This window comes from Homo sapiens, chromosome 17 (genome assembly GCF_000001405.40).
Source record: "Homo sapiens chromosome 17, GRCh38.p14 Primary Assembly".
Classification (NCBI taxonomy): Eukaryota; Metazoa; Chordata; class Mammalia; order Primates; family Hominidae; genus Homo; species Homo sapiens.
In genome coordinates, this window is record NC_000017.11 from 2,415,465 (window position 1) to 2,443,312 (window position 27,848).

At 45.5% G+C, this 27,848-nt stretch overlaps 1 protein-coding gene across 5 annotated transcripts in view, besides 4 other annotated features; it reads right to left on the reverse strand.

Moving 5' to 3' along the window:
• Positions 1 to 250: 250 nt before the first annotated feature.
• The window catches only part of METTL16 (methyltransferase 16, RNA N6-adenosine), a 96,174-nt gene continuing 68,576 nt past the window's right edge, over positions 251 to 27,848 (reverse strand). For 4 of the 5 annotated variants that reach the window (XM_047436697.1, NM_024086.4, XM_047436698.1 and 1 more), the window contains 4 exons: positions 26,026 to 26,095; positions 22,645 to 22,734; positions 5,267 to 5,440; positions 585 to 5,132 (listed from right to left, as the gene is read on the reverse strand). In XM_047436697.1, coding sequence (XP_047292653.1) covers positions 4,506 to 5,132; positions 5,267 to 5,440; positions 22,645 to 22,734; positions 26,026 to 26,095 — 961 coding nt within the window. In that variant the 3' untranslated portion in view covers positions 585 to 4,505. Of the gene's footprint in view, positions 491 to 584; positions 5,133 to 5,266; positions 5,441 to 22,644; positions 22,735 to 26,025; positions 26,096 to 27,848 lie in introns of those variants that run through there. The other variant, XR_007065448.1, reaches the window with a different exon arrangement.
• Positions 18,369 to 19,048: an enhancer, noted in NCBI's record as "H3K27ac-H3K4me1 hESC enhancer chr17:2337127-2337806 (GRCh37/hg19 assembly coordinates)". NCBI's record gives its function as "activates a minimal SCP1, AML or CMV promoter by ChIP-STARR-seq in primed H9 embryonic stem cells {active_cell/tissue: H9 hESC(primed)}" and the evidence as "EXISTENCE:reporter gene assay evidence [ECO:0000049][PMID:30033119]".
• Positions 19,049 to 19,727: an enhancer, noted in NCBI's record as "H3K27ac-H3K4me1 hESC enhancer chr17:2337807-2338485 (GRCh37/hg19 assembly coordinates)". NCBI's record gives its function as "activates a minimal SCP1, AML or CMV promoter by ChIP-STARR-seq in primed H9 embryonic stem cells {active_cell/tissue: H9 hESC(primed)}" and the evidence as "EXISTENCE:reporter gene assay evidence [ECO:0000049][PMID:30033119]".
• Positions 19,728 to 20,406: an enhancer, noted in NCBI's record as "NANOG-H3K27ac-H3K4me1 hESC enhancer chr17:2338486-2339164 (GRCh37/hg19 assembly coordinates)". NCBI's record gives its function as "activates a minimal SCP1, AML or CMV promoter by ChIP-STARR-seq in naive H9 embryonic stem cells {active_cell/tissue: H9 hESC(naive)}" and the evidence as "EXISTENCE:reporter gene assay evidence [ECO:0000049][PMID:30033119]".
• Positions 20,407 to 21,085: an enhancer, noted in NCBI's record as "H3K27ac-H3K4me1 hESC enhancer chr17:2339165-2339843 (GRCh37/hg19 assembly coordinates)". NCBI's record gives its function as "activates a minimal SCP1, AML or CMV promoter by ChIP-STARR-seq in naive H9 embryonic stem cells {active_cell/tissue: H9 hESC(naive)}" and the evidence as "EXISTENCE:reporter gene assay evidence [ECO:0000049][PMID:30033119]".

A 27,848-nucleotide genomic window follows, 5' to 3' on the forward strand; every position in this document is an offset into this window, starting at 1 on the left:
CCAGCTGCTTTTTTTTTTTTTTTTTTTTTTTTTTTTTGAGACTGAGTCTTACTCTGTTGCCTGGGCTGGAGTGCAGTGGCACGATCTTGGCTCACTGCAACCTCTGCCTCCCGGGTTCAAGCGATTCTCCTACCTCAGCCTCCTGAGTAGCTGGGATTACAGGCATGCACCACCACGCCCAGCTCATTTTTGTATTTTTAGTAGAAACAGGGTTTCACCATGTTGGTCAGGCTGGTCTTGAACTCCTGACCTTGTGATCTGCCTGCCTCTGCCTCCCAAAGTGCTGGGATGACAGGCGTGAGCCACCGCACCCGGCCTTCTGAACCCAGCTGCTTTCTTGGAGATCTTGGTATTACTCCTGGCTTTTGGAAAGTTACTGTTTGAAGATCACTCAGCATTTCCCCTCCAGTATCTTCATTAACTAGATATCAAGAAAAACTGGATCCAAAGGACTGGCCCAACCTGGATATATTCTAGAGTAGAAGGACAGCTGGAAAGAACAGAAAAAACAGTCAGCTGGGACCATTAAAAAAACATTAAAAAGTCGAAAGGGATTATACCAGGTAAAGAGACCATGGCTAGTGTTTTTTTCTCTTTCTACTTTTATTTTTCAAATTTTATTTCTGTGAAAATGTATTTGTTTACATAAAAATACAAATCTGGGTAGCAACTGGGTATTTCAAGAAAACACCGTGGACAGACTTGTCTCCATTCCCACGGGGAAGTGAAGGCGCTTTGATAAAAGGGCCAAGGGTGCCCTCGTGTGGCCACGGAGGGAAATGCCGCGGCTTCAGCAGAAAGGAGGGGCTCCAGGAGCTGGTCGTGAAGTCATCAGCTCCCTTCTTTCAAAAGGCCTCGGATTTCCCACAGGCTTTTCCATCTTTTCCACTCCTTGCAGTTTTGTTATTCCTGTCACAACTTAGAAGTTCGAGTGCTCACATGGTAAGCTTTGATTTCCATCGAGAGGAAAGGCTTTATGTTTTATAAAAAATATATACTAAAGTAATCTACACGAAGCTTAGGATGAGTTGAAAGGGTACTGCCAAAACGCGGCCCTGCCCAGGACACACAGCAGAGGTCTGGAGTGGGGACAGTGCGGCCAGCATGTGTGGGGAAGGAAGCAGGCTGACGGAGGCAAAGCAGATTCCGAAGAACAAAAGCAGCTTTAGTTTGCCTGGGCAACAGGCTCAACTTCTGTCTCCACTTCAGTTATCAGGAGACCAGAAGCCGATTCTAGGGACCAGAAGAGAATGTAGGGTCACATCACCAAGATTTAATTTCATACCAACCCCGCAACATGAATGTGACCTCTGGACACCGGGAGAGTAACACTCAAGGTTATGACATATGAGTCAATAACCCATTTCTTCAAAGAAAAACTTGCCCACCTGTACCAGAGGTATATGCTATGAAACAACACACAATTATAAAGCATATGCATGACCAAAACAATGCTTAGATGTCCTTTAAAAATATTTTCAATGTTCTCTCACTAGGTAGCCTAAGAAAATCTTCTCAGGGAAGGAAATGGAAACATCCAAATGCACAGAAGGCACTCGGCTCCAGACTGAAAGCTGGCCTGCTCATGGGTTCCTTTTTTTTTTTTTTTTTTTTTTTTTTTGAGACAGTCCCACTTTGTCGCCCAGGCTGTAGTGCAGTGGCATTCTCGGCTCACTGCAACCTCCACCTCCCAGGTTCAAGCGAGTCTCCTGCCTCAGCCTCCCGAGTAGCTGGGATTACAGGCACGTGCTATCATGCCCGGCTAATTTTTGTATTTTGAGTAGAGACGGGGTTTCGCCATGTTGGCCAGGCTGGTCTCAAACTCCCGACCTCATGCGATGCGCCCATCTCAGCCTCACAGTGCTGGGATTACAGGCGTGAGCCACTGCGCCTGGCCACGGTCACGGATTTTTTAAAACTCTAAGGTCATTAGCTTGACATCTATAAAATCTCCTCCATGACATGAAGCCTTAAACCTAGGGACAGAAACACACTGAGACACAGAAACACCTTCTGTGCTTCAATACACAGAGCATTCTCTGGAAATCCCTACGACACAGGCTTAAAGGCCAGTGCTGTGCCTGAAAGACATTTTGAACAGGCAAGGAGTGTAAGCTAATACACTACTGTTACAACATGGACAAATACTTGTAAGATGTTAAATGAACAAAGGACCAGAATACAAAACTGAATACGCAGCATGAGGACAACCAAAGTTAAACCCACACACTCACACACCCCGTCTACAGAGAGACTAGAAAGGAACACGCCAATGCCAAGAGTGGTTATGTTACAGAAGGTTGGGACTCGGGGTGATTTTGTTGTTTTGACTTTCATTTTTCCAAATCTTTAATGAGCATGTGCCACTCTTTCATAATGAAACAAGCAAACAATAAGTACTTACTACTTACTGAATGAATAGTTGCCACTTAAACAATTATCCTAAAATTATACCAAGGAAACTAGGTTTGGGCCCAGCAAATGACTCAAATGTAATATTCACTCGAGGTAAGGACAGTGGGGTGGTGTGGGCTGGCACAGCAGAAAATTTCTAGACCAGGGGAATCCACGGTCCTGAATTGAGTCTTGGCTCTGTGTGACCCTGGGTATTGTTTTTTGCAGCCTGACACATGAATGCTTGGACTAGAATAATGATTCTTAATCCTTAGTGGGTTATTGACCCCTTTGTCTGTGTCTGAGGGTTCTGGGAACCCTCTCTCCAGGAAAAAAAATACACACACACACACACACACACACACATGCTCACAGAGCTTTTAGAAGTAACTCTAGGAGGTACATGGACTCTCTGGAGGTCCACGGACCAGGTTAAGAACACTGGTCAGAGGCTGGGAGTAGTGGCTCACGGCTGTAATCCCAGCACTTTGGGAGGCCAAGGTGGGCGGATCACCCGAGATCATGAGTTCGAGATTAGCCTGGCCAACATGGTGAAATCCCATCTCTACCAAAAACACAAAATTAGCCAGGCGTGGTGGCGCGTGCCTGTAATCCCAGCTACTTGGGAGGCTGAGGCAGGAGAATCGCTTGAACCCGGGAGGCGGGGGTTGCAGTGAGCTAAGATCGCACCACGGCACTCCAGCCTAGACAACAAGAGTAAAACTCCACCTCATAACAAACAATCAATCAAAAAGCCACTGGTCAGTATGCTGCCTTCTCCAGCTCCAGCTCCACAGCCAAGTTAAGGCACAGCAGTTCCGCTTCCTGTGTCTCTGCCGAGGGCCTGATCTAGCTGCTGCCAAGACATGCCAAGGTCACCAGCTTCCCGTCCTGACCAACAGCCACCTCTCAGAAGGCTGGCTTAACTACTCAGCCCCAGTCTTCTTAGCAGATGGCAAGGAGCTCTGGCCAAGATTTTAGTCTAAACAGAACCCTAGGCTGCTGATGCAACATCAAGCACAGCAAAAGGTCACCCCTTTCCGGGGGGACGGCTACTGAACCCTGGCATTCCAATTAGAAACGTGTTTCAAGGACACAGTTACTCCGGCCTCAGAACTCTCCAATGTGAGTAGGTAAGTACAGGGGGGATTACAAGTGAAGCCACAAAAAAACAGTATTTGATCAGCAACAAAATATCTGAGACTTTCTTAAGCTACCTACGGCACATACTATTTTGTTCTATTTCTCATTTCTATCATCAGCCGCTCACTCAGCTAACCCCAGGATTCAAATAGGACCGCTGGTTTTTAATTTGTGAATATTCTTATTTAAAAACAAAACAAGCTCTACTTCAGATGTCCAAACAAAAATCACACAGTAGTAAAACTGCTACAAAATGGTACTGTCAACAGGCTGGAGGTGGGGGTATGGGTGCCTTCTGTGTGCCTCAGTCACACCGGGGAGTTTTGCTTACCTAATTCTGCTTCTGAAATAAGCAACATCAAAACAGCCAGGTGTCAGGAATGTGCCATTTACCGGGTGGTCCCCAGACTCTGCTGCTCCTTCCCAGCATTACTAAGGTTTCTCTCCCAGATTCCCCACCACCCACCATACAGCTCCCTTTGTGGGATTGATGCAAGGTAGGCCCCATCTTGAAGAGTGACCTAGAACAGGGTACCAGGGCCTCCAGCTGGAGGCAGAGAGAGCCACCCCTCCTCAAGAAACACCCTTGGGTGACAGAGACAGCATGATATTCTAGGCAGTGCTGCCCAGCCCAGACTCCACAAACAACCCTTCTGACCTTGCAGAGGCAGTCCAGAGCTGAGGGGCCAGCTTGAGCCAGCTTGCAATCCCTCGGGAGTTTACTGAGGGCTTTCTGTTGTTACTGATGACCACAATTCCTCCTTGTAAATGACCACACTACGACTCCCTGTAACTCAAAAAGCGGGAAGGAGGCGGGGGGAGGTGGGGGACAGATTCATAGGTTTTTGTTTTCGAAGATAATTCCACATCGTGCTACTAATGGGCCGCTGGTAGGATTCCTCTTGCCACCCCACAGGCCACTCCAAAGCAAGTTACTATCAACACGTTTCCAACTGTGCAGGAGGTTTCTAGTTAACTGCAACAAGCCTGAAAATTTGGTTACGTATGTAGGTGCAAAGCTGGTTCATCAGATCCCTGTTCTGGCCCTCAACCCAGTGCATCTCCACTAAGGCATCGTCCACCTCCTTCTTAACGTTTATCAAACACTTAAACAGGTACTGTCCGGCCACTCCTGGGAGACGTTTCCCCCTTTCAGCCACTGGGCTGCCGAACTGCTCAGAAGCCTCTTGGTCCTGGGCTCCGTTGCTAGAGCCTTGACAACTTTCCAAAACCTCCACCCCTCCCTTTTCCTCACTCCTTTCATCCTCCGTGGGTTCCGGGTTTTCCTCCTGGGACAGGGACTCCTGGCTCGGGCACGGGCCCTCCACAGCGGCAGCCTCGCCTTCCCGCAGAGCAGGCCCACAGGGGGTCCTCTCCTGGGGGCCCCTGGCCAGTTCTTGGCTATTGCCAGACTCTTTGGGGGTGGGCTTTTTCTCTTCCAAGGCCTGAATGACGTCCTCAGGAGCTCGGGGAACTTCTCTCAGCTGTCTCACACGCTCTCTTTTCTTTCTCCTTAAATGAATCCAGGAGTTTTCTATGGCCGTTAGGAAAAGGCTGACTTCCTCTTTTCCACAGGGAACTCGTTTATGCTGGACCTGTTTGGAGGAAAAACAGAATTTTGTGGGAAATCACGTTTCCCCTCTCTCCAAACTCTCAATAAAAAAAAAAAGAAAAAAGAAAAAAGAGAAGGATCATTATGAGTACTTCGTCAATATGGTTAAGCAGGTACCTTCAAATCAGTGAGAATTTTTTCAATCCATGTCGTGACAACGACTATGCCTTCCGCCGTCTCCGAGCGCAGAGGTGATGCTTTGAGGGATAATTCCTTCATCACGGACGCCAGCACCACGAATGTTATGGGTTTTCTCGGTTTCTCTAATTTTCTTCGCTTACTTGGTGGTGACTGCAAGAAAAAGGAAGCATAGAAAAGAGAAGAAAGTTATCCGAATAATTAAACCTCATGCATTGTAATGAACTCAGAGAAAATTTCCACAACTTCTGCTACCAATCATAGAGCACTGAAAACACAAAGGGTTTTGTGTGTGTTATGTCCAGCACTTAAAACAACCCTGCAAGGTGCAGTCATTCACGCCTATAATCCCAGCACTTTGGGGGGCCATGGCAGGAGCATCACTTGAGCCCAGGAGTTTGAGATCAGCCCCAGCAACATAGTAAGACCTCCATCTCTAAAAAAACGTTTAAAACTAGTCAGCCACAATGGTGTATGCCTGTGGTCCCGGCTACTCTGAAAGCAGAGGAGGGAGGATCATTTGAGCCCAAGACTTCCAGGCTGCAGGGAGCTCTGATTGCGCCACCGCAATCTAGCCCAGGAAACGGGGTGAGACCCTGTCTCTTAAGAAAAAAAAAATTTTTAATTAAAAAAATAAGAACCCCACAAGATAGTTTAGGCATCTCCAGGAAAACGAAGATACAGAAAGGCTATGTCACACAGCTCAAGGTCACACAGTAACTGCAGTTAGGACTGAACGCCGAACCCACGTTCTTTCCAGCCGCACCGCACTGCCTTTGTTCTGGCTATCAGATGTAACTCCTCCAACTGCTAAACGTCCTTCGTGTACCTGTGGTACCCAAAGCAGACCTGCACAATTATTTATTTCATGACAACTCGAGGACCCTGGGGGCACTGTGTTCTTGGCTGGAAAGAACTGCAGGGCAGAAACATCATCAACTTGTAGTTTGAGTTTATATTGGCTGAGGCTTGAGATAAAGCAGCCGGTGAACCACAGCCATGAGATGACATGCGAGGAAGGATCAGGGCCACTAAGATCACGTGGGCAGAGGAGGAGGACTCCTGAATCGTGGCTGATGTCGGGACCAAGCCGGCGGCGAGCTAAGCACTGCCTTTTAGCTGGGGAGGGTGACACCGGCGCTGATGAGAAGACTGGATTTCAAAGCTGGTTCCAAGAAAATCACGACTGGCATCTTCCATTCTATCTCAAGCTGGGAAGGTGAATTATACCCTACCCACTAGAGGGACTCAAGTTCCACTTTAAAAACCAATGGCACCTGCCGGGCGCGGTGGCTCATGCTTGTAATCCTAGCACTCTGGGAGGCCGAAGCAGGCAGATCACTTGAGGTCAGGAGTTCAAGACCATCCTGGCCCACATGGTGAAACCCCGTCTCTACCAAAAATACAAAAATTAGCTGGGCATGGGGGCACGCACCTATAATCCCAGCTACTCGGGAGGCTGAGGCAGAAGAATTGCTTGAACCCAGGAGCCAAAGGTTGCAGTGAGCCAAAGGTTGCAGTGAGCCGAGATTGTGCCACTGCACTCCAGTCTGGGCCTGGGCAACAAGAGTGAAACTCCGTTTTAGAAAAAAAAAAAAACAAAACCAATGCCACCACTGTATTGAAAATTTATTTATTCATTTATTTATTTTTGAGATGGAATCTCACTCTGTCACTGGAGTGCAATGGCGCCATCTCGGCTCACTGCAACCTCCACCTCCGGTTTCAAGCGATTCTCCTGCCTCAGCCTCCCAAGTACCTGGGACTACGTCACCAAGCCCAGCCAATTTTTGTATTTTTAGTAGAGACGGGGTTTCACCATGTTGGCCAGGATGGTCTCGATCTCTTGACCTCGTGATCCACCCACCTCGGCCTCTCAAAGTGCTGGGATTACAAGTGTGAGCCACCGTGTCCAGCCTGAGAATTTCTTTCTTTAAAGTAGAAACTTTAGGCTGGGTGTGGTGGCTTATGCCTGTAATCCCAGCACTTTCGGAGGCCGAGGCGGCCGGATGGATTGAGCTCAGGAGTTTGAGACCAGCCTGGCCAACATGGTGAAACCCCATCTCTAGTAAAAATACAAAAATTAGCCGGGTGTGGTGGCCGCGCCTGTAATTCCAGCTACTCGGGAGGCTGAGGCAGGAGAATCACTTGAACCCAGGAGGTGCAGGTTGCAGTGAGATGAGATTGCGCCACTGCACTCCAGCCTGGAGACAGAAGGAGACTGTGTCTCAAAAACAACAACAACAAAAAGGATAAAAAAGAAAAAACACCAAGTCAGGTTTGAAGATCTTTTTCTGCTAAAAGGAATCTGACGACTGCTACTGATCATTCCAGTCGTACCTGGCCACACTGACAGCGCACACGCACACATGCAGACACCACAGGTTCTGATTACTGGGGGACGTCTTCTAATAAGAACTAACCAGCGGCCTCACACTGCATACATACACAACAACCTAACCAGTTTATTCTATACTAGGAAACTGTTAGGGAAGGATAAAAAACAAAGGGTGTGTGTGTGTGTGTGTGTGTGTGTGTGTGTGTGTGTGTGTTTGAAGAACCTGCTCTTGAGAAATGAATAGTGGACTCTAAGACCTGTCTGAACCTGAACTTGTTCAATTATGTTTCAGACAAGATGAGACAAATTCATATTGACATTAAGACAGTCATATTGTTATTACTCAATCATCCTGCATGAGAAACATAATTTCTAGTCTACTGAGAGCCTAACGCTTTGCAGTAAGGAGCTTACAATAAGCGTATTAAGCTGGGGAAGAAGCGTATTAAGCCGGTGTGTGGGAGGATGATGGGGGTGGAGAATCAGACTCCCCATTCCCCGTCCCAACATCAAAGGCCATGACCATGGAGAGCTCACTGCAACCTGGCCCTCCCTGCCAGCCCGCCCTGTACAGCAAAGGTCACCTACAAGCATGGCTAAAAGGGCAGCACTTCCCATCTCTTCTCACAGAAGGAGTGATCATTTTGCTCACAAATTCTGACCAGTAAAGTCAGGATATTGCTGTTTCTCATTATGCTAAAGCTGACCTGCGACACTCTTTCTCCAAAAGTAAGGACGGGCTTCATCATTTCTAGAGATTAAAATAAGAAAATACATCTTTACCAACCTGACAAGAACTCTATCAGGGATACTTTCAGAGTTCTGAGGAAGTCAGAAATCACAAAATCGACAACTTATTACCCAGTTATCTCAGGACTAAAATGAAAACTTCCCTCTCTCAAATATGGCTCCTTCACCTGCATCCTGACCCAACTTTCCCATATACAATGGTCAGTCAACAAACTTGATATTCCTGAAGATTTTTTAAAAAATTTTCCTTTTATTTTATTTTATTTTATTTTATTATTTTATTTTTTTTTTTGAGACGGAGTCTCGCTCTGTCGCCCAGGCTGGAGTGCAGTGGCGGGATCTCGGCTCACTGCAAGCTCCGCCTCCCGGGTTCACGCCATTCTCCTGCCTCAGCCTCCCAAGTAGCTGGGACTACAGGCGCCCGCCACTACGCCCGGCTAATTTTTTGTATTTTTAGTAGAGACGGGGTTTCACCGTTTTAGCCGGGATGGTCTCGATCTCCTGACCTCGTGATCCGCCCGCCTCGGCCTCCCAAAGTGCTGGGATTACAGGCGTGAGCCACCGCGCCCGGCCTTATTTTTATTTTTTAAATAGAGAAGGGTCTTGCTATATTGATTGCCCAGGCTGGTCTGGAACTCATAGGCTGAAGCTCTCCATCTGCCTCAGCCTCCCAAAGTGTTCGGACTCCAGGCCTGAGCCACTGCGCCAGCTGCATTCGGAAGATTTCTAATGAACTGCTCTAGCACACACATGCACACACATCATCTCAGGACGGTCTTCAATTTGGCTTTGCTCTACTATAGAAACTAGACATTAAGAGACAGACAGGCCAGGCGCAGTGGCTCACGCCTGTAATCCCAGCATTTTGGGAGGCTGAGGTGGGTGGATCACAAGGTCGGGAGATTGAGACCATCCTGGACAATATGGTGAAATCCCATCTCTACTAAAAATACAAAAAATTAGCCAGGCGTGGCGGCACACGCCTGTAGTCCCAGCTACTTGGGAGGCTGAGGTGGGAGAATGGCGTGAACCCGGGAGGCGGACCTTGCAGCGAGCAGAGATCGCGCCACTGCACTCCAGCCTCGGTGACAGAGCGAGACTCCGTCTCAAAAAAAAAAAAAAAGACAGATAATTCATACTCCAGGAGTTCTCAGGCAAGGCTTTTAAATGATGAAAGATTAACTGAAGTATGGCTCACAGCAGTTGTTCAGTCCCCTCTTATTTATCATGAAAAGTCCTCGTGGGCAGGGTCACAGTAAAATATAGGATCAAGTTCTAAGAAATTAATAGTTAAATTCAACACCACAGCTCTCTGGTCGTAGGCAATTTTTACATTTTGCTGCAAACACTAGTACATAGAAGCTGTCAGTTTTTCCCCAATTGAAATGATCTTATTTTGCTAATATCCTTATAATTGCAAAACACAAATATTTTAAATGAAGAGTGCTACACTCAAACTGTCATAATCTAGTTTAGCAGGCAAGGCGTACATAAATAATTCAACATTTTAAAGTCTACCCCAAAACCAATCATTTACAATGATTAATCCAGTTTAATGCAAAGAACTAGGTGAATTTACAGCTGATTTTGGATTTGAAGATGCACTGCTGGAATTACAATGTGAGAGAAGCCTGGTGAGCAGTCGTAGGTCTGCAGAGACCACAGGTTTTATATCTTTTGAATTCCAAGTAGTCAAGGAATGATCATCAATAAGAGAGGAACTGCAAGCGTTAAAAACACATTAGATCACAGAAGCCATCAATCAGGCACAAACAAACAAACAAACAAAAAACCAGTTCTTAAATTTTAAAATATGCTACGTAGCAGGGTGGTCTACAAATTTCTTTTCTTGTCTTTTTTTTTTTGAGACAGGGTCATGCTCTGGCACCCAGGCTGGAGTGCAGTGGCGCAATTACGGCTCAGTGCAGCCTCCACCTCCTAGGCTCAAGTGATCCTCCCACCTCAGTCTTCTGAGTAGCAGGGACTATAGGTGTGTGCCACCATGCCTAGCTAATTTTTGTATTTTTTGTAGAGATGGGGTTCTGCCATGTCGCCCAGACTGGTACAAATTTGAATCTTCACTTTAATTTCTAAATCTCAATGATGCCATCAGCCAAGAAACTTTCACATGTGGTGTAGCTTGACACAGATCAGTGTAGCATGTTATGTCTCCGTTAATTATGGCTAAGGCAAAAAAAAAAAAAAAAAGCCACAGGCTGAATGAAATCATTAAATTCTCTCTAGTATTTGCAGGAAGAGAAGAGCCATTCTACAGAGAAATCTGGTGCGCACGAAGCCACAACCTCTTTGTTTTGGCAAAGCAGCTTCTAGAAAAACCTCAAGTGGAAAGGGGACAGGGCAGAGAGGAGACCCCAGTGCAGTGGCCGTCTGTTTTTTAAAAGAGATAGGGAGTTACAATGTTGCCCAGGCTGGCCTTGAACTCCTGTGCGCAGGTGATTCTCTCACTTCAGCCTCCCAAGTAGCTGCAACTACAGGTGCACATCACCACACCCAGCCCATTTCTTTCATCTTAATCTGACAGGTCGTTGTTTAAAATGTCCTGAAATCACCCCCAGGAGTACGTAAAAACAGTAAAAAGTAAAAATAGCAGCCGGGTGCCATGGCTCACGCCTGTAATCCCAGCACTTTGGGAGGCTGAGGCAGGTAGATCACAAGGTCAGGAGATCAAGACTAGCCTGGCCAACATGGTGAAACCCCATCTCTACTAAAAATATAAAAATTAGTTGGGCATGGTGGCACGTGTCTATAATCCCAGCTACTCGGCAGGCTGAGGCAGGAGAATTGCTCGAACCAGGGAGTCGGAGGTTGCAGTGAGCCGAGATCACGCCACTGGACTCCAACCTGGGTGACAGAGCAAGACTCCGTCTCAAAAAAAAAAAAAAAAAAAAAAAAGTAAAAATAGCAAGGGGAAGAAAACTATTGCAGAATGCTACCTATTTAAGAAGGAATGATTATAAATACATACGTGTATTTCTTTGAATTTGAAAAAATGGGTCAGGCACGGTGGCTCATGCCTGCAATCCCAGCACTTTTGGAGGCCAAGGCAGGCAGATCACTTGAGGTCAGTAGTTCCAGACCAGCCTGGCCAACATGGTGAAACCCCATCTCTACTAAAAATACGAAAAAAAAAAAAAGAGCCGGGCATGGAGGCATACACCTGTAATCCCAGCTGCTCGGAAGACTGAGGCAGGAGAATAATAGCTTGAACCCAGGAGGCAGGGCCTGCAGTGAGCCGACATCGTGCCACAGCACTCCAGCCTGGGCAACGGAGCAAGACCCTGGCTCAAAAATATAAATACAAATAAAGGAATGATAAATTATAAAACTGTTTAAATAGTAACCCATGAAGAAGTAAAGGATTAGGGTGAATGAGATAGAAGAAAGAAGTCAGACTTCTGACCATTCTTTTGAGATTTTTTTCATTTCACAGGTAGAGAAATAAGAAATATATTTTATTACAAAACAAAACTAACAACAAAAAAGGCACTCCCTAAAAATCTGAAGATGATGAAACAAACGAACCTCTGTCCTGACTCCATGCAGAAAATTCAGAGTGGAAACGTTCCAAATGACTTTGAAATCCATCATGAGAGTCTCCAAGGACAAAAAAGAATTGTAAAAGTAAAAAAGTAGCTATTTTCAGAAATCACTTTGTTGATGGTAATGTTACTTTTGAGACTCCTGGGGCATATTGTGAGATAAAGTTAATGAGTAATATGTTGGCTGAGGACTGGAGTTTTTGGCATGGGATTCTTTTATTTTTTTAAGAGATAGGGTCTTCTGTGTTGCCCAGGCTGGCCTCAAACACCTGAGCTCAAGTGATCCCCCCGCCTCAGCCTCCTGAGTAGCTAGGATTACAGGCGTGCACCACCGCAGTCACAGGATTTTTGAATGGGAGATACAGATGGACAACTGATGAAATTAAGTAAAAACCCACAGATGTGAAGCTGAATAAAGTATCAGCAAGTATATGCTGGGTACAGTGGCTCACACCTGCAATCCCAGCACTTGGGGAGGTCGAGGCAGGAGGATCACTTGAGCCCAAGAGTTTGAGACCAGCTTGGGCAACATGGCAAAACTCCATCTTTACCCAAAAAAAAAAAAAAATTAGCTGGATGTGGTGGCAAGGAAGGAAGGGAGGGAGGGAGGAAGTGGAAGAGGGAAGGAGAGGGATGGGAAAGGAAGGGGAGGGGAGAGGAGGAAAGGAAAAGAAAGGAAAGGAATCAACAAGAACTTGCAACATATTTCATCTTAAAAATAGTAATTCCTAGCTCTGCTGAAAAAGCCTCTAAAAACAATGACTAACCTGGTACCATCCCTAGTGCCCAGATGAATACCTTTAAATACGACTTCCCAGCAAAATAAACCAGATCTCCTGGGAGAAATGGTTGATTCCAGATCTGAGAGAGGAAAAAATATGAGCCTAGAACAACCTGTGATACCAGAAAGCAAGGAAGCCACCAAAGACTACAGTGGATATGATAAAAAAGACTCACGAGCCAAGTTGAATAAATTCTCCATGGCCAAAGGCGGTTAACTGTGCCTCAGTAGAGATAGTAAGTGTAATGAATTGAAAAATGTAGCCTCAACCCGGGAGGCAGAGCTTGCAGTGAGCTGAGATCCTGCCATTGCACTCCAGCCCAGGCGACAGAGCGAGACTCCGTCTCAAAAAAAAAAAAAAAAAAAAAAAAAAAAAAAAAAAAAATATATATATATATATATATATATATATATATATATATAAATTGTAATACAGCGGGGCACAGTGGCTCACACCTGTAATCTCAGCACTTTGGGAGGCAGAAGCAGGAGGATCACTTGAGCCCAGGAGTTCGAGACCAGCATGGGCAACATAGTAAGACCCCATCTCTATTTAATAAAAAGAAAAAAAAAAGTAATCCATGACTTCATAAGATGCTACAAAGGAAAACCAAACCACCCTCTTTGGTCACTTTTGGAAGATGCTAGGGAACCACCAACTCATTGTTTTTATTTATTTTACTTTTTTACTTTTTGAGACGGAGTTTTGCTCTTGTTGCCCAGGCTGGAGTGCAGTGGCACAATCTCGGCTCACCGCAACCTCTGCCTCCTGGGTTCAAGTGATTCTCCCGCCTCAGCCTCCCGAGTAGCTGGGACTACAGGTATGCGCCACCAGGCCTGGCTAATTTTGTATTTTTAGTAGAGACAGGGTTTCTCCATGTTGGTTGGGCTGGTCTCGAACTCCCGACCTCAGGTGATCCACCCGCTTCGGCCTCCCAAAGCGCTGGGATTACAGGCATGAGCCACCGTGCCCAGCCAACTCATTATTTTTAAAACTGATAAAGCAAAAGAATGAAACTTTTTTTTTTTTTTTTGGAGATGTAGTCTCACCCAGGCGGAGTGCAGTGGTACGATCTTGGCTCACTGCAACCTCCACCTCCCGGGTTCAAGCGATTCTCCTGCCTCAGCCTCCCAAGTAGATGGGACTACAGGCGTGTATCATCACACCCGACTAAATTTGTATTTTTAATAGAGACGGGGATTCACTATGTTGGCCAGGCTGGTCTCGAACTCCTGACCTCAGGCAATCCGCCCGCCTCGGCCTCCCAAAGTGCTGGGATTACAGGTGTGAGCCACTGTGCTCGGCCAAGAATCAAACATTTATCCGGCTTTACTAGATGAACTGTACTTCAAAGTTACTAATAACTAATAGGAGAAGTTTCCTTTCATAGAAGTACCTCAGCTAATAAATGAAGGGACGAATAGAATTGGAATATCATTATTTGCAACTCTAAATGAATTAATGGATCTAGGCAATGATCATCAATGACTGCTCACATCATGAAGACACAATCTAACATGTGCCTCCATACGATAGTATATACCACATACCACCTGCAAAGTATTCTTGCTCCCCCTCCCCAATCAAAAAAAAAGAACAATCAACCCTGTATCTGATCAAGCTGCTGCTGCTTCTTTTTTTTTTTCTGAGGCGGAGTCTCGCTCTGTCGCCCAGGCTGGAGTGCAGTGGCACGATCTCAGCTCACAGCAACCTCTGCCTACCGGGTTCAAGCGATTCTCCTGTCTCAGCCTCCCGAGTAGCTGGGATTACAGGCGCCCGCCACCATGCCCGGCTAATTTTTTTCTATTTTTAGTGGAGACGGGGGTTTCACCATGTTGGCCAGGCTAGTCTCAAACTCCTAACCTCAGTTGATCCACCTGCCTCGGCCTCCCAAAGTGCTGGGATTACAGACATGAGCCACCTGCCCACTTCCCACTTTTTTTCTTTTTAAGACAAAGTCTTGCTCTGTCACCCAGGCTGGAGTGCAGTGGTGCAATCATAGCTCACTGCAGACTCAAACTACTGGGGTCAAGCGATCTTCTCATCTCAGCCTCCCAAGTAGCTGGGACTTCAGGCGCATACCACCACTCCTGGCTATTTTTTTTTTTCATAGAGACAGCGCTGCTGTACCTAAAAATATGCTTCTATCTGTATTTAAAGTTGAATTATGAACTTTAGACAGTTTCAGTTGCCTTAATTCTGTTCTATTCAGATATATTTTTAGAATTCTCTTTTTTTTTTTTTTTTTTTTTGAGACGGAGTCTCGCTCTGTCGCCCAGGCTGGAGTGCAGTGGCGGGATCTCGGCTCACTGCAAGCTCCGCCTCCCGGGTTCACGCCATTCTCCTGCCTCAGCCTCCTGAGTAGCTGGGACTACAGGCGCCCACCACCACGCCGGGCTAATTTTTTTGTATTTTTTTAGTAGAGACGGGGTTTCACTGTGTTAGCCAGGATGGTCTCGATCTCCTGACCTCGCGATCCGCCGGCCTTGGCCTCCTAAAGTGCTGGGATTACAGGCGTGAGCCACCGCGCCCAGCCTAGATATATTTTTAGAATTTTTTTTTAAATTGAAATATAGATACAGAAAAGCACATCTGTTATAAACGTTAAGTCTTAAGAACTTATTTACCAGGAACCCCAATTCCCTCTCATGCTCATTGGCCATTACCAATCCCTCTCTCAGTATCCCAATTTCTATCACCATGGGTTGTACCTGTTTGCAGGCTTCAGTATCTGACTTCTTTCATGTAAATTATTAAATAATAATAATTATTATTATTTTTGAGACAGAGTCTCGCTCTTGTTGCCCAGGCTGGAGTGCAGTGGTGTGATCTCAGCTCACTGCAACCTCCGCCTCCTGGGTTCAAGCAATTCTCCTGCCTCAGCCTCCCAACTAGCTGGGATTACAGGAATGTGCCACCATGCCCAGCTAATTTTTGTTACTTTTAGTAGAGACAGAGTTTCACTATGTTGGCCAGGCTGGTCTCAAAATCCTGACCTCAGGTGACCCACCTGCCTCTGCCTCCCAAAATGCTAGGATTACATGTGGGAGCTGCTGCACCCAGCCTTTTCGTGTAAATCATGTGTATGGGATTCATTCATATTGTTGTGAAGGCAGGTTCATTCACTGGAACAGAATTACTGTTTAGTTTCCATCTTCTGAATATACTACAACTTATTTACCCTTTCTACTATTTAGAGACATTTCAGTGGCTTCTAGTTTAGGGCTATTATGAATAATGTTGCTGTGAACATTCTTGTACAATGTTTGTGATACGTGTGAATACACATTTCTTTTGGATATAAACTTAGGAGTGGAATTGCTGGGTCACAGGGTATGAGCAAGCTCAGCTCTCATAAATCTTCCTAAAGATATGTTCTCCTGAATGTTACCAGTTGACACCCAGCTGCATGAGAGGATCGGCAATTGCTCTGCATCCTTGCCAACGCTGGATGGTCTATCCAGTATGCCATTATGCTTTTCATTTGCAGTTCTCTAATAACTAATGAGATTTAACATCCTTTTTGGTATCTTTTGACTCAAAAATAAATAAATAAATAAAATGCCTGTGAATTGGGGAGTCTGCAATCTGCATTTTGGGGAATAGATGGTTTAAAATTAAATGTTTAAAAATAACCTTATCATTTGCCATAATTTGTAGAAATAACAACGGAGCAAGAGAAATAACAACAAGGATATAATAACAATAATAACAAGGAGAAATAACAACAAGCTATCTTCTCAGAAGCTCAATGTGACTCAATATTTTTTTTTTTTCTTTTGAGACTGAGTCTTGCTCTGTCGCCCAGGCTGGAGTGCAGTGGCACGATCCTGGCTCACTGCACACTCTGTCTCCCAGGTTCACGCCGTTCTCCAGCCTCAGCCTCTGGGGTAGCTGGGACTATAGGCGCGCACCACCATGTCCAGCTATTTTTTTGTATTTTTAGTAGAGACGGAGGGAAGGTTTCACCGTGTTAGCCAGGATGGTCTCGATCTCCTGACCTCGTGATCCGCCTGCCTTGGCCTCCCAAAGTGCTGGGATTACAGGTGTGAGCCACCACGCCCAGCTTAAATGTGACTCAATGTTAAATTAGTTTGCATTTTAGGCTGGGTGCAATGGCTTATGCCTGTAATCCCAGCACTGTGGGAGGCCGAGGAAGGTGGATCACTTGAGCCCAGGAGTTCAAGACCAACCTGGGCAACCTAGGGAGACTCTGTCTCTATAAAATAATACAAAAATTAGCCAGGCATGGTGGCACATGCCTGTAGGCGCAGCTACTAGGGAGGCTGACAGGGGAGGATCACACGAGCCTGGGAGGTCAAAGCTGCAGTGAGCCGTGAGCGCGCCAATACATTCCAGCCTTGGCAACAGTGAGACCCAGTCTCAAAATAAAAAAAAAAATTAAGCTTGGTGGAATTATTTATATCCGACGCTCACGGTCATCGCCAAGGTCTGAGTTTTCACAAAAAAAAAACTTGCAACTTCCGGCATAAATGGGTTAATGGTCAGAGGAGGAATCTCCAGGCAGAGGGATTAGAGAGCTGTAGCTCAACATGACTGGAGTAACAAATACAGGGGCAGGTGGGAAGAAATGGTGGGAAATGACAACACAATATATTTTACTGAGCATTACTACATACCAGGCACTAAGTTAAGTACACTTAATCCTCAAAACAACCCTATGTGGTAGATACTATTATTCTTCCCCATTTTACAGATGAGGAAACTGAAGTTTAGCGAAGTTAAGTAGCCTGTTCTATGTAAAGCCAGACAGGGACCAGCTCACAAAAGGCCTTTTCCACACCTATGCAAGAAGGTTTTGGTGTTATCCACAGTACCTCAGTTAAACAAAACACCAGTGTAAAGTATGCCACAAGGAAGTTTATGCAGAGTATAGATAACTGAAAGAGATCAATGCAGTTAAGTCCAGAGGAAGGGAGAGATGTCCAGGTTCTATGGGCTGAATGCTTATGGGAGCTCTATGCAAGTAAGTTGGAACTGGGCTGGGTTGCAGTGGAGGACGTCAGAGGGAAGGATCAGAACAGGGTATGAGCAAAGGCTGTACAAAGTCAGCTCTGACTTCGGCACCATGGGAAGGCTGTGGAGACAGTACAGTCAGGACAACTGGGAGTGATTAGGATGGAAAGTCAGGACAGATCTGGGAGGCCCAAGGAGCCAAACGAGGAGCTGTACTTCCTCCCACTTGTGGTAGGTGGCCACTCAGGAGTGGGTGAGCAGGATGCTGACTGCAGGATGAATCCAGTCACTCGCAGATGAGAAACTGCTAGGATGGTCCATAAGCAAGATGTGAGGCCATCATGAGCAGGTTCTGGCCAGGCCAGGAACAACATAGGGCCGTGGCGGGCAGAGTGTCAGAGTGACATTAGGTGCTCAGGCTGTGAAATCAGACTCATCTGGGTTCTAACCTGACTTTTTGGAGCCTGCAGTAGACGTAGTTCACTCGATTGCTGTCAGGTGGAAATAAAATGAGACTATAATGTATGTGAAGTATTCAAACAACAACAAATATTATATCCAGTGCTTCAAATCTACTAAATCTACTGGATCCTGCGCACGATGTTGCTCTTTAACGCAAGTCCTACACCATTCCTTTAAACATACAACAAACACTGGGAACGCCACCCACCGACCTACGAGTCAGACGCTGGCGACTCCTCCTCCATAAAGCGGTCTTTGACTAGCCCCAGCCTGAGCCACTTCCTTTTCTCAACTCCTGGCCACTCCTGCCCCTACCACTCAGCACTTACTCACATGCAAATCTGCTGCAGATCGGGATCAATAGCTCCACGTGTTTTTCTTTCCTATAAAACTCATCATTGTGAGTAACAGAAAACAATGTCTGATTTGTTTATCATCACAATGAAGACCACACTTAAGAAGAAAAGTAACTAAGAAGAGGGTCCTAAGCTTTGGTTTTGCTCAAGAGCTCAGCCCCTGTCCATCTTGTAGCATAATGCACAGCCTGGTACAGTACTGGTTTTCAAACTATTTTTATTCAAACTTCTTTTTATTTTGAGACCCAGTCTCACTCTGTCACCCAGGCTGGTGGGCAACGGCGTGACCTCGGCTCACTGTAACCTCCGCCCACTGTAACCTCCGCCTTGCAGGTTCAAGCGATTCTCCTGCCTCAGTCTCCCCAGTAGCTGGGATTACAGGTGTGCACCACCACGCCCAGCTAACTTTTGTATTTTTAGTAGAGATGGGGTTTCATCATGTTGGCCAGGCTGGTCTCAAACTCCTGACTTCAGGTGATCACCACCTTGGCCTCCCAAAGTGCTGGGATCACAGGCATCAGCCACCACGGCCAGCCCAAACCATTTCTTAACAGCAGGACACTTTCAACAAATAAATCAACACATAATAATGATAAAAGCAGATGAGCTCTTTAAAATGAGAGGGAGGTCTCAAGTACCAGCCTGATGTCTGCCCCACCCTGGGGCACCTACCTGGCATCCCTCAGCTATGTGGACAAGACTGAAAACCTAAGGAGAAGGGAGCTGGGCACTGTCAGGATACCCAGCTCCAACATGCACAAAGTTGCCTAATTAATTTGACACCTCTCCTCCATCTGCTCTCCAAAAAGCCCTCTAGTTCTTACTCCCTAGACAGCCACGTCCCAGGCTTAAAGGTAATGTCTTCAATGCAGGGGATCCTTTTTAAGCCCAGAGTTCCTGAGCAGTGCTCACACCAAGAGTGAACAACTCACTAGGGCTACACTTTCCCCTTTTTCTCCTAACAAACGTCAAACTTCCTTCAAGCAAACCAAAACAAAGCTAAAATAATGCTTTCGGCAATTAGCGGAGAGCTGGAACAAAGAGGTAAGTGGCTTGTTAGAATTCTGCAGAGAACAGTTTGTAGAACATGCTTCCTTATATTCATCATTAGCTGAAATTATGGAACAAAATTCTATCAACATTAGGACCTTTTTGTTGCTAAAAGAAATCCAGACAACAGGAATGGGCTGAGTGTGGGCACTTGAATCACCAGTGAATTAGAATTTTTCAGCATTCAGCACCAACAGAAACGAGTCAGTAGGCCTGAGATAAGTGAAAACAGAAGTTGCCATAGTAACTTGCACATTTACCCTAAAATGGCGGGAGTGGGGGTGGGGAAATAGGTCAATGTTTCTGCTTAACTAGCTCTATTCCTTGTCTAAAGCAGCATCCTCCTCCTTCCTTACCCCCACCAGGAGCAAGAGGGGGAAAGTCAGATGGGGTTTTCAAAAAACGAGGGTGGGGAGAGAGGTCTAGGAAGAGGGAAGAGAACCAAGAGGATGGCTAAATAAAAACCTCGTGAGTACCCTGGGACGACCCCCTGGGGAAAGCAGTTGCCGATCAAGGGCAGCAGTGCTAAGAAACTGTTGCTGGGTTACTACAAATCAGGAATTGCCGTTTTTTCCTGTAGCGGCTGAAGTGCGTCTAACAGAACACTTGGGAGTGCATTATTAGCAGCTTGGGGCTGGGGTAGTGGTGGGGAGGAAGGAAGACTCTGGCAGGGGGGAGTCTGGGGCCCTCAGCATTCTCTGATGGTTGAGATGGGAGTGCATTATTAGCGGCTTGGGGCTGGGGTAGTGGTGGGGAGGGAGGAAGACTCTGGTAGGGGGGGAATCTGGGGCCCTCAGCATTCTCTGATGGTTGAGAACTATGAACGGGGCTGAAGGATGCCCCAAAACAGAGGAGAGGAGGGGAGGGAAGCTTAGGGGGTTCCTTTGCAAAATAAGCTGGTTTTGTTAACACAGAAGCAGTGCCCTTTACTACGTGGACCTGACAAGGCTACTCATGCAGGAGGGCCCGGAGGACTCGGTCTCGGAGCTGGTGTGGAGTGCCAGGGTGCTTTATCTGCTCTTCCACCTGCAGCGCCGACACATGTGGGAGGCGGGTGAAGCAGAAAGCACTTGAAAACAGGTGCAGTTCCAGTTTGCTGCAGCTGTTAGTGTCTCCACGGGGATAACTCAGAGCATTACTAATGATTTTAACCATGTGGTGTGAGGGCCCTGATATTCTAGAAAATGACAGAAAGGATAATTCTTCGGGGTGGTGAGGGGTGTCAAAAAAGGAGAAGCATCTTTTTAACCAGAGACTATTTCAAACACAAACCTCTAGATAACTTACTGCACTGTCCAGGAGTCTACCCTTCATGGAAGGGCCATTCAAATGGCACTGGGGAGTGTAATTGAACCCAGCAGCACTTCTAGCTGCAGAGTAGGACAGGCTCAACCTCGGATTTAAGCTCCTGTTTTCAGAAACATGGTAGTATCTGCAAATTGTTCCCTTGTGCTACATGTCTCTACTCCTCTACCCTACAAGAGCAGGAGAAGAGACTCAGACACACAGCAACATGTAAGATGACGTTAGAGACCAAGAGCAGCCAAGAGCTTGGAAGAACAGCACCCAGAACAAGCCCACTGTAGGCGCTGAGGGAGCAAAGCAGCAGGTGTCAGGTCCCCGCACATACTAAGAAAGGAAGAGCACCTGCTGGGCAGTGTGTGCAGACACTTCAGCTGGGAATCTCCAGGCAACAAGAAGCCAACCACACCTGGGAGGGAACTGTGAGAAGCAACAGATGCTGTTCTGTCACTGCCCGGAAAATCATTCAGTCTGGCCAGCTCAGAGGTGGTTTTCCTTTACCTATAGCAGCACTGAGGACAAAGAGACATCTGTGAACAAACCTTTTTTTTTTTTTTTTTTGAGACAGGATCTCACTCTGTTGCCCCAGGCTGAAGTGCAGAAAGTGCAGTGACACGATCAGGGCTCACTGCAGCCTCTACCTGCCAGGCTCAAGTGATCCTCCCACCTCAGCCTCCGCAGCAGCTGGGACTACAGGCATGCGCCATCAAAATACAAAAATTTTTGTATTTTTTGTAGAGACGGGGTTTCACCATGTTGCCTAGGCTGGTTTCGAACTCCTGAGTTCAAGTGATCTGCCCGCCTCGGCCTCCCAAAGTGTTGAGATCACAGGTGTGAGCCACCAGGCCTGGACACAAATCATTTCTTTAAACTTTTTATTCCAGAAAATGTTCTAGCACACACAAAATAGAAAGGAATAATGATCTATCACCCAGCTTCAAAAATGGTTAAGATTCTAGTGCTAATCTGAAAGCCAAGACAGAACCCTTCATTAAAATGATCCCCAAGTGTTGCACATCAAAAGCCTGCAATCCAAAAAGTCAACTTCTACGTTCTCCAGGAGCCCCAAGAGGCAGCTATTCTAGGAAAGCAGCAGTGGTAAGGAAAAGAAAGAGACCTCATTTTCAATTCTTGAGGAATGTCCACCAGCGTAATTATATCTGCAAAATGTTTCTACAGGTTATGTTACCTGAATTTTGTTTTTTAAAAAAATTTTTATTTATTTCATTTTTAATATTTTTGAGACAGAGTCTTGCTCTGTGGCCCAGGCTGGAGTGCAGTGGCACAATCTCAGCTCACCGCAACCTCCGCCTCCTGGGTTCAAGCAATTCTCGTGCCTCAGCCTCCCGAGTAGCTGGGACTACAGGAGTGCCACCACGCCCAGCTAATTTTTGCATTTTTAGCAGAGACACAGTTTCACCATGTTGGCCAGGCAGGTCTCAAACTCCTGGCCTCAAGTTATCCGCCCAGCTCGGCTTCCCAAAGTGCTGGGATTACAGGCATAAGCCACCATGCCCAGCCAAATTTTTAATTCCTAAAAGATACATTTCTGTCAGCTGAGCAAAAATCACTATGTTGTACAGACTCACAGAGGAAGGCTCCACAGTCTCCAGGACCAGCCTTCTAGGACTGTGTCTTGGTTACAACCCCTTTCCATTCTGACATAAGCATTTGGGACAAACTTCAGTTAAACAGGACACTACCAATTCAGTTCACTTATGATGGACTGAAACCCACCATGTGCTGGCAGGTGGTGAAGCGGAGCAAGGTCTGTACTTACTGGTACTGTGACATCATCATAAAAACTCCAAGCTAAGGCCCATCTCATTGTCCGACCTTGACAGAATTCAGTGTACGTTACTTTGGGAACCTGAAACCAACAAAGACAGCATCTCATCAAACTGCAATCATTCTACCAATATGTTTCTGGCTGCTGCGTCATGCCATATTATGTTGATCCTTCTTTTTAATCAGTTAACAAACAATATTACCAAACAACAGTTATAGATAGCTGCCTAATAATGAATGAATAAATCATCTCTCAACAAAGTTATATTTTTTCCTCCCATAAAACATAAGAGAATTTACAGATATGACTTGAAGGTTCAAATATATGAAACACTGAAAACACAGCTCTTTAGAGAATTATTTGTAATATGACTCAAGTGAGTTTTTTTGTTTTTTGTTTTTTTGAGACAGAGTCTTGCTCTGTCACCCAGGCTGGAGTGCAGTGTGCGGTCTTGGCTCACTGCAACCTCCACCTCCCAGATTCAAGCAATTCTCCTGCCTCAGCCTCCCGAGTGGCTGGGATTACAGGCGCATGCCACCACGCCCAGCTAATTTTTGTATTTTTAGTAGAGATGGGGTTTCACCATCACTGGTCTCAAACTCCTGACCTCAGGCGATCCGCCCACCTCGGCCTCCCAAAGTGCTGAGATTACAGGTGTGAGCCACCACACCCAGCCTCAAGTGATTTTTTGTTTTCTTTTTTAGAAAGAAAGTCAACCAAAGTCTGGGCTAGACACAGGTAGGTAATCTGTTTTATCAATCAGATTTTAGGAAAGGTAAAGGAACTAGTTTGTAGCTCTCACAATTTACCCAAGAAATGGTATTGTGAGGAAAAGAGGAGGAATAGGACGTCAGAGAGAAACCAGAGACCAGAAACTCTGCTCCTCCCACTGGCTTGCATCTGACCCTTTTGCTGAGAAGTCCTCTGACTCACACTAAAAACCAGAAACTGGGAGGAAAGTGGAAGTGGCGGTGGGAGTATTTATTTTATTTAAAAGAAAATTTTTTGGGGAGACAGGGTCTCGCTCTGTCGTCCAGATTGTAGTGCAGTGGCGTGATCTTAGCTTGCTGCAACTTCAACTTTCCGGGCTCAATGGATCCTCCCACCTCAGCCTCCTGGGTAGTGGGGACTACAAGCACGCGCCATCACACTTGGCTAACTTTTTGTATTTTTTTGTTGAGATGAGATTTCGCTGTGTTGCCCAGGCTGGTCTTGAATTCCTAGGTTCAAGCAATCTGCCCGCCTCAGCCTCCCAAAGTGCTGTGATTACAGACATGAGCCACTTTGCCCGGCCTGGGAGTACTTACTTGCGACCTGCCTTCTGAAACAGGAGCACGGGGCTCTGCTCTTGTGGAATGTCATCCTAGTGGGAAGCACAGGGGACCGAGACCGTGTGCTGGTGCTGTTCCCCCAGAGCTAACTGCATGGCCCACAACAAGCCCTTAAACCTATGTAGCTTGAGTTTCTGGATCTATAAAGGAGTGAGTTGAACTTGTCTTGGAGGCATAGTAAAAAATAAAAATTAAAAAAATATTAAAAAGGAGTTCGATGTGAGGTCAGTGGTAGATACCAGGTTTTTTGATTTCTGGCTTCTCTCTGACATTCTACTCACCCTGTTTTTCTCCACCTTTCTCTATAATTGTCAAAAAAGGCCTTGTTTTAATAATCTATAAAAAATATATTTTAGCCCTAAAAATATAAAACTTAGAAAACAAAACAAAAAACATATTTAGAGTTTTAGAGTATAAAGAAAATTCTATACTCAAAACTACCATCAGAGTAGACACAGGTCAGGTGCATGGGTCACGCCTGTAATCCCAGCACTTTGGGAGGCCAAGGTGGAAGGATCACTTGAGGCCAGTAGTTTGAGACCAGCCTGGGCAATACAGCAAGACCCTATCTTTATAAAAAATAAGGATTACTTGAGTACAGGAGTTTGAACTAGTCTGGGCAACACAGAGAGACCTTGTTTCTACTAAAAATTTAAAAATTAGCTGGGCGTGGTGGTGTGTGCCAACAGTCCCAGCTACTTGAGAGGCTGAAGTGGGAGGATTGCTTAAGCCTAGATGTTTGAGGTTGCAGCAAACTATGACTGTGCAACCACACTACAGTCTGGTTGACAGAGCAAGACACCATCTTTTTTTTTTTTTGAGACGGAGTCTCGCTGTGTCACCAGGCTGGAGTGCAGTGGCACGATCTCAGCTCACTGCAACCTCTGCCTCCCAGGTTCAAGAGATTCTCCTGCCTCAGCCTCCCCAGTAGCTGGGACTACAGGCGCGTGCCACCATGCCCGGCTAATTTTTGCATTTTTAGTAGAGATGGGGTTTCACCATGTTGCCCAGGATGGTCTCGATCTCTTGACCTCATGATCCGCCCACATCGGCCTGCCAAAGTGCTGGGATTACAGGCGTGAGCCACTGCGCCCAGCCCGACCCCATTTCTCAAAAAAAAACAAAAACAAAACAGTAGATATATGAAAAAAAACCTCAAGATGGACTAAAGACTTGAATATAAGACCTGAAAGTACAAAAAATACTAGAAGACTTGGTCCCAAAGGAAAAGAAATCATTAGGTGGGGTGCAATGGTGCACACCTGTAATCCCAGCACTTTGGGAGGCTGAGGTGAGAGGACTGCTTGAGCCCAGGAATTTGAGACCAGCCTGGGCAACATGGCAAGACCCCATCACTACTAAAGAAAAACAAAATTAGCTAGGCATGGTGCCATCTGCCTATAGTCCCAGCTACTCAGGAGGCTGAGGTAGGAGGATGGGTTGAGCCCAGGAGTTCAAGGTTACAGTGAGTCATGATCCCACCACTGTACTCCAGCCTGGGAACAGAGCTAGACTTGATCTCAAAAAAAAAAAAAAAAAAAAAAAAAAGAAGAAGAAGAAGAAGAAAAGAAAAGAAAGAAAAGATATCTGGACTTGAATAAACTTAAGTATCCATCAACAAAGGACTGGATTTTAAAAATGCAGTATACATACACAATGGAATACTATTCAGCCATAAAAAAGAATGAAATTGTGTCTTCAGCAACATGGACAGAACTGGAGGCCATTATCTTAAGTGAAACAACTGAGACAAATACCACGTGTTCTTACTTCTAAGTAGGAGTTAAATAATGTGTACACATGGAAGCAAAGTATGGAATGACGGGCAAAGGGAGACTTGTGGTTGGGGAGTGGGAGACCGGGTGACGGGAGGTTGCTTGGTGGGTAGGACATGCACAACGACATGAATTGTTCCGGTGACAGTTACACTGAAAGCCCTGACTTCACCACAATGCAATATATCAATGTAGCAAAACTGTACTTGTGCCCCATGGATACAAAGAAAAGTAGCTACACGAGAACAGTAATGAGGAAGCCTCACCCCTTGTATGCGAAGCTCCTCCTTCAGAGGCGCCAGGCTGCATTTCTTTCCCAGCATGCAGCTATACCATCTAGGAAAAAAAAAATCAGACAAGTAAATACGGTTTATGTGGTTAAAATTTTAAACTAAGCATTATTCAAGTGAATAAGATGAGAACAGTAACAAACAAACATTGAGTAAGGTCACAAGTGAAAAATATCAGGAATTACATACAATGTATTTCGACAAAGACCAAATCTAATGATGGAAAACAAGCCCAAGGCAACTTAAAAAATAAATAAATAAATAAATGTACTTAGCCTCTCCAATGCTTCAGGGCTATGTATTAAATATTTGGAAAAAGAGTAAAGAAGTCTCATCTGTCATGCTTACAACGAAGGCCGTTTATCTCTAGGACAGAAATTAGAAAATAAAAAACAACAAAAACATAATACTAAGAGAACTCAAGATTAGATCCAGCATGAACCTGTATTGTGAGATGTCCTCATCTGCACGTAATTTAAGGATAGATAATGCATTTGAGTTTCAACAGATCATGAAATCAATTTGCTCTAGAGTAAAAACAAATCCAGAAGAAGGAATGTGGAGAAGTTGGACTGAACTGATTAAAAGGTAAAGGGATAGAATATACTGCTTCTGATTATTCTAAAAAGTTTGTAAAGGACCTTTGCTTCAGCCCATGAAAGATTAGTTACTATGGGAATTGCCCTTCCACCATAAACAACCAGGAAACTGGACAAAACATATAAAATAGCTGTTTTTCAGACATTGGATAACTGGCAGTGCAGACCTACAGTCCCAGAAACAAATGAGGTGAGCCTGCATTTGCTAGAGCTTTCCTAGAAGGAAATTCCCAGACTGCAGTACAGGGAAAAGAAATTCAAACACAGTCCAACGTCTTGCTGAGTTGATGAGACACAGATCAAAGTTCAGAGATGCTGACGGAGTTACGATTTGTAAAGCAAATTAACAAGAGCAAATGAAACCCAAGTAAGAAGAAGAAAGGAAAAAAAAAAAGATTAGAGCAGAAACTGAGGAAAGAGAAAACAGGAAAACAATGGAGAAGAATGATGAAACCAAGAGCTGGTTCTATGAAAACAAATTTTCTTGAAGTCAAGAAAAAAAGAAGACAGAACTCTCAGTATCAGAACTGAAAGAGGGGACGTCCCACAGACCCTATAGGTATTAAGAGGGGACGTCCCGCAGGTCCTACAGGTATTAAAGGGTGTGAAGAGGTATAGAACAACTTTTTGCCAATAAATTTCACAACTTAGATGAAACAAATTGCTTCAAAAACACAAACTACCCAAGATTACTCAGGAAGAAATAGATAACTTCAATAGTTCTTTTTTTTTTTTGAGATAGTCTTGTTCTGTTGCCCAGGCTGGAGTGCAGTGGTACCATCTGGGCTCACCGCCACCTCCGCCTTCCGGGTTGAGGTAATTCTCCCGCCTCAGCCTCGCAAGTAGCTGGGATTATATGTGTGTGCCACCACGCCCAACTAATTTTTTTGTTTTTGAGACAGAGTACCACTCTGTCGCCCAGGCTGGAGTGCAGTGGCGTGATCTCCACTCACTGCAACCTCCACTTCCGGGCTCAAGCGATTTTCCCGCCTCAGCCTCCTGAGTAGTTGGGATTACAAGCGTGCGCCACCACACCCGGCTAATTTTCTTTTGTATTTTTAGTAGAGACAGGGTTTCACCATGTTGGACAGGCTGGTCTCAAACTCCCGCCTCAGCCTCTCTAAGTGCTGGAATTACAAGCATGAGCCACCATGCGTGACAGAGAAATAGATAACTTGAATAGTTCTCTATCAATTAAAG